We start from the raw sequence: 14,225 nt of genomic DNA on the forward strand, positions 1-14,225 counted from the left end.
AAATGAGATAAGTGTATGAAAGCCTGTGTAATACATCATGCCATTGCCTTAATAAGAGCTTATATTTCTAAGTCTTCTGAATTTTGCACGTACCGTGCATTTATAATTTGAGAAAAACAACCACCCCTGACAAATCTTCTGGAAGAAAGTGCTATTGGATGTAGGGAAAAACAATTAAAAAAAAAATGCTGAAAAACAGTATTCCAAAAATGTTAATTTGGCTGTTAATTCTACCCCACTCCCAATTTAAAACTAGAAGCAAAACTATGAACCCCACAAAATGGCAAGTGTGCAATTTGTACACTTTCATTGCATATTTAAATTAAAAAAGCATACTCAACCAATCTTTTCCTCCTTTTACTCAGGGCAGAGCAATTTGGACAACAAATGAACAGAGATTTTTGGAAACATGTAGGTTATTAAATAATTTGTTTATTGTACGGCATTTACAAAGAAAACAGACAATGCCCTCAGTAGAAAGAATAAAAATGTATTTAGGGCTTTATTTTTAACTGACAGCAAATAGAAATCCTTTAGTGAGATCGTGGCAATTTGACAGTATTATAATTAAGCTCAATAAAGGTACATGGGGTACCTGGAAGATCAAGATCTACAGCTGCCTATTTCCACATCTTTCAATCCATCTGGCTCCTTAAATAGGGGAAAAAGCCCTTATTTGGTGGAGAAGCATTTCCAAAATGAAGTTACAGGTTCTATTAAAACTTACTGTCACATCAACTGTTAAAATAGGGCCTTTTGTGTTTTGTTATTTCACCTTAATATCACCAGAATTCCTGTAATTCCACAATTGTGATTTTACTATGTAGAAGATAATTCAGTTCTAGTCTATTGCTTTAGATGTAAAAACAGCTGAAAACCCAAAGTGGATTAGAATTGCTGAAGGATTTCCCTGCCGTTGTTTGATACAATCTATTCTCTTGATTCTTGATAGGTGCATAGAAAGCCTAACTTAAAATTCTTTCTACAGGAACATGTCTGATTTCAGGAGTACCCAATGAAGGATCCGATGAATGGCTGGCCAGTTACTCAGAGTAATATGTTTATGAGTTAAATGGATTGCATAACGGCACCACTTTTCCTTTGTCACTGTGGTGGATAAATGACAAAGTAGATTCCAATCTCCTGTATAGAAAGGTGGTTACCCAATAGCCTCACTGGTGGCTTGCTAGCAGAGCCTCAAGTTGCACCTCTGTGGCTTTCTGTAAATTCGAGTCCTACAGCCACTTCGAGAACGCTGCAATCCCCAAGGCCCACTTGGTCCATGCTGAAGAAGCGGCTGTGACCCCAATCCTGCCTCTCTTTTGCTCTTCAGTATTACTTACTGGAGGAATATGTAATATTCTAGGTCAAGTCTAGGAGAGGCTCATCCTAAAAAAAAAATTGCAAAGTCTTTTCTCAATTAAAACAAAAAAGCCTCAAGTACATCTCAATCATGTCAAAATTATGGTTAAAAATTGACATTATGTAGGGAAATAGCAGCAGAGAATGGCTAATCTTAAAAAATAACGAACCAACCAACCAAAAAACAAAACAAAACAAGACCAACAAAAAAAAGTGCCATCCCACCCCTCCCCTTGGTTCTTTCATTTGGGGTTATATTAAAGACTCGAGCCTCTGAGAAAATCAGAAAGGCAAAGCCATAGAGGAAAACTGCTTCAAGGCCAGAATTTTGGGTAAGGTAAAGAAAAAGCTGTACATGAAAGCAGGGGACTGTTTGGAAAAGAATCAGAATCTCAAGATCTATTTTTCTTAAATGGGAAAGCTCTGAAACCCAGATCTCCGTTCTACCATCATCCTGATCCTTTAGTTATGGGGCAATAAACTCAAGTGCAATGAGTAAAGTGCCAGCCATGGATACAAAAACAAAAAATAAAACAAAACAACCAACCAAAATAACTCTGGTCTTAGGGTAATAGAAGACATACAGGAAAGGACTGTTTATAGAACACCTGAGGTTCTCAAGAAATTACTATTCAATGGTTCTGTTTTTGCTTACATTAAAAATCAGACTGAAGATTCAAAGATCTTAACTATTAAAGGATGAAAGGAATTTGACAGTGCTTTGAACAGTGATAAAATGGTACCCAAATTTGGTGTTCATATAGCTATTTAAAAAAGACAGTAGCTTAAAAGTTGCAGGAAAAAATGTGAACACAGAGAACAACAGAAACAGTCCAGGAAGATGATGCAGCCCGGACACAGCAAGTTTAATGTCTCTGCTGTACATAGAATTAAGACCCTTTCCCCCTCCTCATCCTTATGCTGGCAATAGGATATGCACTAGAAAATTTGACTCTTAGAGTCAATGAATAAAAGGATGGGCTCATACACCTTCATAGCTCTTTTCAAAAAGGATGCTTATAATTTAAAGGATGTCCTAATGGGAAGGAAAGGTACAGGGCAAGAGGCTGTTTCACATTTTAGTCCATTAGTCTTTGGCAGAGCCCAACCAAGGCCAAATTCACCTAGGATGCCCAATGGCTGTGGGGATCTCCACAGGGTCAAGTAAGCAAACCCAAATGAACATGTTGGATTAAAAAAAAAACAAGATCTAGAAACTCTTGAAGGAAGAGCTTCACCCTGAAAAGGGAAGAGGAAAATGCTTGAAGGGGAAGGGCGGAGGGTCAGTGTGTGATCTCTGCTGTGGTGCTGGGCAGGGGCTTAGGAGTTAAGCCAAGGGTGCCGGAGACACTCGGCGGCAGTGGCTCTCTTCTCAGGGATCAGCTCCAACATGGGCAGTAAGAAATCTGTGAAGCCAGCTGCCTCTTCCTGCGACCACTCATACTTCTCCACTAGAACCTCAAAAAGGCCCCAAGGTTTCAGCTTCGTGATATGTTTCAGGTCACCTGCAGTGAAGACAGTACAGAAAAAGCCACTGATCAACACAGACAAATGACAAGGTACTCTTGTGGAAACCCACAAACTAACCCATGTAGTCTATGAGGAATCAAATTTTGCAATCAGAATCTAATCCTTCATTCACAAAGCATTTCTTTTCTGACATATGCCTCAGAAAGAAGTGCCTCTATTCTTCATACGGCTCCAAAAATTTAAGGTAATTTGTTTTCTCCCCTATTCTAGGATTTTTTTGGTCCCAGTCAAACTGGGTGTGACAATCAAGAAGTAGGTATTTACTACTAAAATAAACATGAAATGCCTATGTCTTCAACATGGTCTTATATGGTGTGCAGAGACACTCTAGTACCACATACCGAGAATAATTTGCTTATACTCTTTTTTTGTGTATGTGCTCAATAGTTTAGTAAATGTTGCTTTACAGTGAGGCAGTAAAGTTAAAACATCATGTCAAGCATGGATAAAAGCAACAAAAAAAACCCCAAATCCTACACAGTTTTCAGATACAACAGCTTCATATACTCTATACCAGGGGTCCCCAACTCTATACCAATACCCCCTATGGTACCAGTCTGCGGTCTGTCAGGTCTGCACAGCAGCAGGTCAGTGGTGGGCCAGCAAGCATTACTGCCTAAGCTCCACCTCCTGTCAGCTCAGTGGCTGCATTAGATTCTCACAGGAGCGTGAATCCTACTGTGAACTGCAGTAGGGATCTAGGTTGCATGTTCCATAAAAGAACCTAATGCCTGACAATCTGAGGTGACACAGTTTTATCTCCAAACCACCCCCCAACCCCCCCATCCATTGAAAAACTGTCTTCCACAAAACCAGTCCCTGGTGCCAAAAAGATTGGGGACCGCTGCTCTACACTATACTGGAGTATCAACCTAATTGCTTCTTTGAAGTGACAACTTTTTAAAAGATAGTCAATTATTAATAGCTAAGGCAAATGCTGCTTTAAAATTTTAAGTTGGCCAGGCACAGTGGCTCATGCCTGTAATTCCAGCACTTTGGGAGGCTGAGTCGGGTGGATCACTTGAGCTCAGGAGTTCAAGACCAGCCTGGGCAACATAGTGAAACCCTGCCTCTACCAAAAATACAAAAAAATTAGCTGTGTATGGTGGCACATGCCTGTGGTCCTAGCTACTTGGGAGGTTGAGGCAGGAGGATCATTTGAACCTGGGAGGTGGAGGTTGCAGTGAGCCAAGATCGTGCCACTGTACTCCAGCCTGGGTGACAGAGTGATACCCTGTCTCAATAATAATAATAATAATAATAATAATAATAATTTTTTTTAAACATAAAAATTTTAAGTCTCTTTTGTGAGCAGTGAGTGCCTATTTGATTACCTACCTGGTAAACACACATGCCTTAATCTGACTGCACATGAGGAGGAACTCTTATGAAACATTTTACAATTTTCCCACCTAAAAAGAGGTTTAAGAAAGGGTAATGTTTCTGAGGATGGCTCCTGCCAAGGATTGAGAAAAGTCATTTTTCTCAGCACTTCTGTAGAAGTTGTGAGGAAAAAGGGAACCATGGCACAATGGGGGTAGAAAAACCAGACCATTTCCTAGATGCTTCTAGGTCAGGTTTTCACATTTCAGGTTTTTTTTGCAATGCTTAAGAAATATATTATCAAGTCAAAAATTGGAAGTTTTGTTTTTGTGGTTTTTTTTGTAATAACAAATACATAAAACTAAAAAGTGTGAAGTTCGTTTGTATGACTAATGTACTTCGAGTGACTGTGTTAGGTGTCACTGGGATGCAAAGATGAGTGAGATGTAGTCCCTGCCCTTATGTAAGAAGCTTAAATTACCTGCCCTTTGGTAGAGGCAGTTCTTAGACCAAACGCCAGCAAAAAATTTGCCCATTTTTCAGAAGTGCTATAGAAGTAATCAACCAACTGCATGCAGGCACTATACATATTAACTGTTAGTAAGAAGTATACTTTATTATTATCTCCATTAAGAAATCAGCAAACTGAGGCACAGTTAGATCCTGTCAAAGGTCACATGGCTAGTGGAGTAGCCAGGATTTGACAGTCTGGCTCCAGTCTCTGCTCTTTTTTTTCCCCGAGACAGGATCTTGCTCTGTTGCCCATGCTGGAGTGCAGTGGCAATCATGGCTCACTGCAGCCTTGACCTCCCAGGCTCAAGTGATCCTCCCACCCCAGCTTTCGGAGTAGCTGCGACCACAGGTGTGTACCACCATGCCCAGTTAATTAAAAATTTTTTTTTGTAGAGACAGGGTTTTCCTGTGCTGCCCAGGCTGGTCTTGAACTCCTAGACTCAAGTGATCCTCCTGCCTTGGACTCCCAAAGTGTTGGGATTACAGGCGTGAGCCACCATGCCTGGCTCCAGTCTCTGCTTTTTTTTTTTTTTTGTGAGACAGAGTTTCACTCTTGTTGCCCAGGCTGGAGGGCAATGGTGCGATCTTGGCTCACTGCAACCTCCGCCTCCCAGATTCAAGTGATTCTCCTGTCTCAGCCTCCTGAGTAGCTGGGATTACAGGCGCCCGCCACTCTTCCCAGCTAATTTTTTGTATTTTTAGTAGAGACGGGGTTTCACCGGGTTGGCCAGGCTGTTCTCAAACTCCTGATATTGTGATTCGCCCACCTTGGTCTCCCAAAGTGCTGGGATCACAGGTATGAGCCACCGCGCCCGGCTCAGTCTCTGCTCTTGACCACTTTTTTTACCTCTTTTTTATCTCTTTGCTAAGTCACAGGTTAGCATTCAAGGCAGGCCCATCATTCTGTAGGACATTGGGAATATGTGCTTACCTCTTCATTTTTAAACACTTCTGCCTCCTTAATGTCTGGGAACACATTTACTTTACCTTTTTTGGTGAAAAATTCCTTGGAATATTTTCCTGCCACAATGAGCTTGCGAGGCACCTTCCCCAGAAGTTCTATGATCAATGCAATGTGATCTGTATATTTCAAACATTTCAAGAGGGGGGAAAAAAAAGATCCGTAACAAGAGTAACAAATGCAGCTCTAGAAAACAGCAGAAGGAGCAGCATGCACATCTCTTTGTAAAGCCTATCAGGCTTACTTTCTATCCTAAATGGGAAGAGGAAGACTCTATCCATCTAATGGAGAATTCACAAAGTCAAATTTTTGTGGATTCAGTGATAACTAAAAACAATCTTGGTGTGAATGCTCTGCTTCCTGAAGTATCCCTGGGTCCTACATAACAATACTACCTCTGTGACTGAAGAAGTCTTGTGAATATTTCCCACTGAGGGAAAAGCGTCTTGGAATTCTGCCTATCAGCTCTATAATGTGCACAATGTGGTCTAAAATAGAAGGGTAAGAAGAACAGATCAAGGACAAGCTGTAAAAGAGGTTTTTCTATGAATAGCTTTTTCAAGGACTAGCTGTTTAAAAGTAACTACAAATAAAACCAAGGATACTGAAGGAAGACTGACTGGGAAGGCCAAGAATTATTTCAGGTGGTTGGTCACCCGATAGTGTCTGGCAAGTCCCATTCTGGATTTTGGAGGCTTATCTTCATCTTTAGTTCTATTTTGTCTATATATCTAGGTTCAGGTAGGTTCTTTAGGTAAGATAAAAAACTGTCCAAATATGTGTTAGGCATTCTAGAACTATTATTTGTGATCATTCTGTCTCAGCCTCCCCAGTGGCTGGGATTTCAGGCATGTGCCACCACACCTGGCTGACTTAAAACATTTTTTGTAGAGATGAGGTCTTGGCATACTGCCAAGCTGGTCTCAAACTCCTGGGCTCAAGCAATCCTCCTGCCTTGGCCTCCCGAAGTGTTGGGATTACAGGCCTGAGCCACCACCTGGCTGATACCCCATTTTAAAGATGAGAAAATAGAACTTCAAAAAGCATGAATGGCCTAACTTGAAACTTCAGGGCTAATATGAGCTAAAACTCAGATGAAAACCAATGATCTTATGTCTTGTCTAAAGCTTTTAATTTCTTCCTAAAATCACTTTTTAAAAGTAAAGATTAGCACAAACATTTTAAAGTATAGCTGCTTGATGATCTGTAAACATCACAGTATGAATATGGACCATGAGCACAACCAGGGAGGCATGCAGCCTCTTAACCAGGAGGTGAGTCTGGGACCAACCAGTACACACACCTCAGGTAGATCTACTGCCCCCCCCCTTTTTTTTTTCTCTCTGCAGGTGACAGAAGTTAAGAATATAAAACTTTTTTTTTTTTTTGAGATGGAGTCTTGCTCTGTCGCCAGGCTGGAGTGCAATGGCATGATCTCGGCTCACTGCAACCTCCACTTCCTGGGTTCCAGTGATTCTTGTGTCTCAGCCTCCTGAGTAGCTGGGATTACAGGTGCATACCACCAGGTCCAGCTAATTTTTGTATCTGTAGTAGAGACAGGGTTTCACATGTTGGCCAGGCTGGTCTCGAACTCCTGACTTCAAGTGATCTGCCGCCTTGGCCTCCCAAAATGCTGGGATTACAGGTGTGAGCCACTGTGCCTGGCCTGTATTTTTTGTAGAGATGGGGTTTTGCCATGTTGCCCAGGCTGGTCTCAAACTCCTGGGCTCAAGCGATCCACCCACCTCAGCCTCCTGAAGTGCTGGGATTACAGGCGTGAACCACCACACCCGGGCATAATACTCCTGGCCAGAAAAAAAGCTTTAGAAAATACTTTTATCGTGTAGTTACAGAATCATTAAGGTTTAAACTTCCAGTTATGTATCTTATAGGGGAAATAACATGCTAGAGACGTCCATATTATCTGGGAATTTGTGAAGGTTTCAGGTTTTATCTTTCTCATGTAAAGGAGTTAGTGGTGTCATTTAAAGGGGACTTCACATTTATGACTTCCCTACAACCTTTGAGCAGTTTTGACTGAATTTATGGTTTGGTAACAAGTACCTGCATGCCAAGAATTTTCTGCTGGTTTTTGGCAGGACCTGCAAATGTGTTTTTACCATTAACAATAACAAAAATAAGAATACTAAGGAAAAACTTAGACTATAATTTCTAAGAGAGCTTCTTAAAGTTCTTAGAAACTTAAGTAAACTTCCAAGTAAAATATTGGTCCTTTAAATATTTTTCCTATACCAAGGAATTCCCTTGAAATTGTTACTTTACACTTAATTCTTGCAACCTATTTTGGCTTATGATAGGATTGATATACTTGACAGATAAAATTATCAGGTATTATCCCATGAGTTAGGGCTGTGGAAAGCCAGAGTAGAGGACATGGTACTCAGGCTTCTGTCCTACCACGACTCGTAACAAACTATGCACACACTAGTCAGGGGTAAGGGTTTGCTTGTTCCTGCTCTTATAGGTCAAACTGCAGCAGAACAGCATCGGTGGGGCTGATGTTTGACCTAAGGACTATTAGTACTAACTGGTATAGGATGGAATAAATTAGAATTTAAACATCTAGGGAAGATGGTTTTTCCTTGTCCCCTTATTTGGGACTCTGCATATGTATTAAAATTTTCAGGTTTGGTAGCATAAGGTAACACCCGATATAATTCTAGCCACTATATGTGTTCTGTACCACACACTACCATTTATGGAGAATCTAGGGAAGTAAAGGGGAAAAAAATTAATTACCCTCCCAAACAAACATAGTAGGTAGTCTCTAGGCCTATAATCCCAAACACTGTAAGCCTATAACCCTAAACCTATAACCCAGAAAAATAGCAAGCAGAGAGTAGGTAAAATCAAGTAGTAATTATAGTATCCTCTAACATGGGGCTTATATATACAAAATATGTCCAAACTCTACCCACTTAAATAGGCATTCATGGGAATTACATAGCATAGCATTTTCCAAATGGTATTCATTAGGAATATTAGCAGGTCCTACTAACATTACCTATTAATATCCCAGAAGACCACATTTTGAGAAACAAAGAGCACTCTTGGTTCCATACAGCATGAAATATGCATTCCCAAAGATTCAAGGAAAGCACAAAAAGTAAAGAACATGCTCTACATTGGGAGGGTAGATGCTGTAGTGATATCTCAAAATAATCCTCATTAATCCTACAACTAAAACATAAGCTGCCTCAACTGTATAAAACATTTTCTTGGCTGAGCGTGATGGCTCACGCCTGTAATCCCAGCACTTTGGGAGGCTGAAGTGGGTGGACCACGAGGTCAAGAGACAGAGACCATCCTGGCCAACATGGTGAAACCCCGTCTCTACTAAAAATACAAAAATTAGCTGGGCATGGTGGCACAAGCCCGTAGTCCCAGCTACTCGAGAGGCCGAGGCAGGAGAATCGCTTGAACGAGGGAAGTGGAGGTTGTAGTGAGCCGAGATCGCACCACCGCACTCCAGCCTGGCGACAGAGTGAGACTCCGTCTCAAAAAAAAAAAAAAAAAAAAAAAAAATCACAAAACCATTTTGTTTGTTCATTCAAATTATTAACTCATTTAGTTATCTGGATGCCATCATAATAGAAAAATCAGACACACACAGTTGCTGCTTCCACAGTCTCTCAGACAAAGTAACTGGCAGCCTAGGCTTTTCCCACTGGCTACCACAACATGTAAATCCATTCTACTTTGTTTTAAAATGGAATTCCAAAAAAGAAAAAATTAGTTTTATATTCAGAAAAGGGAAAAAAGAATGCTAAATTTTGGCAGAATTTATAGAAATAGGATATAGTCTCTGCATTCAAGTAGTGTGTGTATATTAAAATAACTGACCTCTAAATAAATTTGGAGGCATAATTGAGCAACAGGTTGATGAGCAGGTAAAAAACTGGGTAAAGAATGAACCACTGATATATACAGAAAGGAAGATAACTAGATGTTGAAGAAAAAATTGTCCAGCACACAGAAGTTTTAGGTGAACTGTGGCCTTTTGACTCTGACAGAGCTCTTTAGTATCTTTCAGAAAATATCTAAAAACCTAATATAAAATGTCTTTTATATTTCTAACTTTTCTGGGATTTACATGTTTTGCACACTAACAAGACTAAGGCTCTTCGGTACTAACAAATGATGTTAGCTTAATGTGGAAAGTGTAAATACCACGCACACACATCCATGGTTAAGGGGACTCACCTTCATCTCGAGTGTACTCTTCCCCTGAATGAGGTTCAAACAAATAGTCACCTGTGGCCAGTTCAAAGGCCTAAAAAAAAAAGAGGACAGTATATGAAAGCACAAAAGAAAAGAAGGCCTTTGGAAAGCTGATTGCTATTTGGCTCAATATGAAGTAACTCTTGTTCCCTTGGGAAAACTTATAGATCATTTAAAAAAAAAAAAAAACAAAAACTTAAGATTATTCCTAAAGCATTCCTTCCACATCCCTATCTTAATAAAATGGAGAAAACAGCAAAGACTCAGTAAATACTAACATGTGGGTTATTTCATGCCCAAACCTCCCCACCCTAAACCCTAGCAATTCAGCCCTCCTGAGTTTCCCTTTTTTGGCCGGAAAGGGGCATACCTGGATATTAAGGTGATTCTAAGTTATTATTCATGAGAAGAACAGGTCTTTTTTTTTTTTTTTTGAGACGGAGTCTCACTCTGTTGCTTAGGCTGGAGTGCAGTGGCACGGTCTCGGCTCACTGCAAGCTCCGCCTCCTGGGTTCACACCATTCTCCTGCCTCAGCCTCCCGAGTAGCTGGGACTACAGGTGCCCACCACCACGCCCAGCTAATTTTTTGTATTTTTAGTAGAGATGGGGTTTCACTGCGTTAGCCAGGATGTTCTCAATCTCCTGACCTCGTGATCTGCCAACCTTGGCCTCCCAAAGTGCTGGGATTACAGGTGTGAGCCACCACGCCCAGCCCAGGTCTTTCTTACATTATAATCACACATGGCTAGAAATTGAGATTCTGTACCAAACAAAAAAAATCAAAAAAAAAAAAAAATTCAGACTTCTACTTATGACTCTTTAGTGTTTGACAAGTACATCATTAACTTTTGCATAGGAAGTACTCCCTAGATTGTCCCAGATGGGAAGTTCCTGATTCCTAGGTCCTTTGTTTTTGAGATGGAATCTTGCTCTGCCGGCCAGACTGGAGTGCACTGGCATGATCTCAGCTCACTGCAACTTCTGCCTCCTGGGTTCAAGTGATTCTCCTGCCTCAGCCTCCGGAGTAGCTGGGACTACAGGTGCATGCCACCACGCCCAGCTAATTTTTGTATTTTTAGTAGAGATGGGGTTTTACCATGTTGGCCAGGATGGTCTCAATCTCTTGACCTCATGATCCACCCGCCTCTGCCTCCCAAAGTGCTGGGATTACAGGCGTGAGCCACCATGCCTGGCCAATTCGTAGGTCTTTAGAAAATCAGAAGATTAAGTGTAAAGGGAGTCAGGAGCCTAGCCTATGTGACTGGCAAGTCAGCACTCCCTAATTAGGAAAAGAAAAGCCTGTCTCCTTTAATAGAAAAACCTCTTACAGTGCTCGAGAGTGTCTTAGGAAATGATATCCTTGGGAATAAGTGCCATGCAGAATGAAAAGCAGGGCTACATAAATCCTCACTGATTACAAATGGAGTTTTAAAAATTAGTACACAACAGCAGTTTTTTTTTTTTTTTTTTGGATGGAGTCTCGCTCTGTCGCCCAGGCTGGAGTGCAGTGGCACAATCTCGGCTCACTGCAAGCTCCGCCTCCCAGGTTCATGTCATTCTCCTGCCTCAGCCTCCCCAGTAGGTGGGACTACAGGTGCCCGCCACCAAGCCCGGCTAATTTTTTGTATTTTTAGTAGGACAGGGTTTCACCATGTTAGCCAGGATGGTCTCGATCTCCTGACCTCGTGATCCGCCTGCCTCGGCCTCCCAAAGTGCTGGGATCACAGGTGTGAGCCACCACGCCTGGCCAACAGCAGTTTTAAAAAATGACCTTATTGATAGGGAAGCACAGTTATAAAATAAGCGCTAGTCATAGGTCAATTTTGATTAAATCAATGGTACTAAGCAGTCCAAACAACCTCAAGAACTGTAGAGTCCAGGACTTAGTTGGGGCATATTCTCAATTTAGACCCAAGTTTAGGTCCTGGTGGCTCACCAGTGTCAGTTTCTGCAGTTTCATGACAGAACAGCCTTTCTCAAAACTGTACTACCGTCCAGAGGGAGACCACAAAACCAGAAGTTTCAGGATAGGTTTAGGAATCAAATACTATCTCTAAATGTCAGCAGTGCTATGGCTTCTTGCTTGGCATTGCTTATTTTACATTTCAGTTGTTTATTAAGAAACTGAACCACAGTGATAGAGCAGATACTTGTTCTACCCTGAGTTGTTCCGAGGTTTATAGTCCCAAAGCAACAGAGAAACAAATCATGATTCTTGTTCACCAAAACTTGTCAATCATTCCTGATACCAGTACTTTAAAAAAAAATCTCATGGTCTCATATATAGAGTTCAGTAAAAATACTGAAATTAAAGTTAAAAAAAACAAAAAACAAAAAACACAGAGCCAGCCGCGGCAGTGCTATACGCCTGTGGTCCCAGCTATTCAGGAGGCTAGAAAATGAAATACTCTTCAGTGCTAAAAAGAAATGAGCTATTAAGCCGTGAAGATATGGAGGAACCTTAAATGCATATTACTAAGTGAAAGAACCTAATCTAAAAAGGCTACATACTGTATGATTCCAACTATTTGACATTATGGAGACAATAAAAATATCAGTGGTTGCCAGCGAGTGGGGGACGGGAGGGATGAATAGGCAGAGCACAGAGGAGTTTTAGAGCAGTGAAACGATATTGTATATAATAATGATAGATACATTTGTCAAAACTTCTAAAAGAGTGAAATGAAATGTAAACTACTGACTTTGGTTAATAATGATGTGCCAATGTAGGTTCATTGTTTGTAACAAATGTATCACTCTGGAGCAGCAGATCGACAGTTGGGGAGGCTCTGTGTGTGGGGAGCATATAAAACTTATTTGTACTTTTTGTTCAATTTTTCTGTGAACCTAAAACTGCTCTAAAAAATAAAGTCTATTAAGAAACAAACCCAAATAAAACCAGTGTACCATCCTTTGTTAACCTTCTCTAGACTATTGCCTTTGAGAAGAATGGCTTAGAAGATAGCATGAAATGCATGGAAAAGTTAAAACAATGACAATTTAAACAGACTAATTACATTCAGATCCAGAAGTAAATTGCAAACTCCAGGTAGCAGAAAGGAATACTGACACAGCTTGAGGGGCAATCTAGCATTTCATAAGCAATATGGTTGTGTGTGGTCAGAATGCCAAGGAGTGATTACCAAACAGAAAATGAGGAGTTTCAGGTAAGAGCTGTTTCTATAAAGTAACATGTCCATCATCTGTATCAATGGGCTGGCCAATGGCTGTCTCAAAGTGAGGAAGACAAGTCAGAGTCCTGATGCTTGGCCTTCTGCAGAGATGCAGGTGTGCTCAATGTATTAACTTAAGGGCCCTTATCTTGACCCCAGGTTTGACCACATTAAGAAAGGCTGAAGTGCTGGAAATGTTATTTTAGAAAAAAGGAATTAACAGATGATTCAAATTTCCTGTCTTCAACAATCCATACCAAAGGGAAGTAAAATTCCAGAGCAGGGCTGGAGGCTGGAACAATAAAGTCTGTTTTAAATTTAAAAGGTTGCCAAAGAATAGGGGAAAAGGGAAACACGGAGTTTTTCTTCAATGGTATATAGAGTTTCAGTTTAGAAAGATAAAAAATTTCTAAAGAGGCCAGGTAGGGTGGCTTACACCTGTAGTCCCAGCACTTTGGGAGGCCAAGACGGGAGGATTGCTTGAGCCCAGGAGTTCAAGACCAGCCTGGGAAATACAGTGAGATCCCATCTCTTAAGAAAAAAAAAAAATCTAAAGATATGTTGTATAAAAATTTGAATATAGGCCAGGCGCAGTGGCTCATGCCTGTAATCCCAGCACTTTGGGAGGCTGAGGCAGGTGGATCACTCATGCTCAGGAGTTCGAGACCAGCCTGGGCAACATGGTGAATCCCGTCTCTACCAAAAATACAAAAAAATTAGCTAGGCATGGTGGCACATGCCTGTGGTCCCAGCTACTCAGGAGGGTGAGCCGAGATTGTACTACTGCACTCCAACCTGCGTCCTGCATGACAGAGTGAGACTGTGTCTCCAAAAAAAAAAAAAAGACTAAAAAAATCAGAAATGAAGAAATGAAAGAGGAGACATTATAATGAATACCACAGAACTACAAAGGATAAGAGACTACTATGCACAATCATATGGCAACAGATTGGATAACCCAGAAAAAAATGGAAAAATTCCTTGACAATATAACCTACAAAGATTGAACCATGAAGAAATAGAAACAAGAGATTAGATCTGTAATAAGAAGTCTCCCATCAAAGAAAAGCCCAGGACCTGATGGCTTCACTGCTGAATTCTACCAAACATATAACGAAGA

The 14,225-nt window shown here is 40.8% G+C and overlaps 1 protein-coding gene across 2 annotated transcripts in view, besides 1 other annotated feature; it reads right to left on the reverse strand.

The window, feature by feature from the left end:
- Positions 345-14,225, reverse strand: part of SRPK1 (SRSF protein kinase 1) — an 88,133-nt gene continuing 74,252 nt past the window's right edge. For both annotated transcript variants that reach the window (NR_034069.2, NM_003137.5), the window contains exons 14-16: positions 9,914-9,983; positions 5,716-5,808; positions 345-2,867 (exon numbers count right to left, since the gene is read on the reverse strand). Coding sequence is in view for 1 of the 2 variants with exons in the window: in NM_003137.5 (NP_003128.3) it covers positions 2,683-2,867; positions 5,716-5,808; positions 9,914-9,983 (348 nt within the window). In the remaining variant the exon portion in view is untranslated. The remainder of the gene's footprint in view (positions 2,868-5,715; positions 5,809-9,913; positions 9,984-14,225) is intronic.
- Positions 10,478-10,633: a silencer, noted in NCBI's record as "fragment chr6:35810876-35811031 (GRCh37/hg19 assembly coordinates)". NCBI's record gives its function as "represses an EF-1alpha promoter that drives an FKBP-Casp9 reporter gene in an ReSE screen in K562 erythroleukemia cells {active_cell/tissue: K562}" and the evidence as "EXISTENCE:reporter gene assay evidence [ECO:0000049][PMID:32094911]".

This window comes from Homo sapiens, chromosome 6 (assembly GCF_000001405.40).
Source record: "Homo sapiens chromosome 6, GRCh38.p14 Primary Assembly".
NCBI classification, from domain to species: domain Eukaryota; kingdom Metazoa; phylum Chordata; class Mammalia; order Primates; family Hominidae; genus Homo; species Homo sapiens.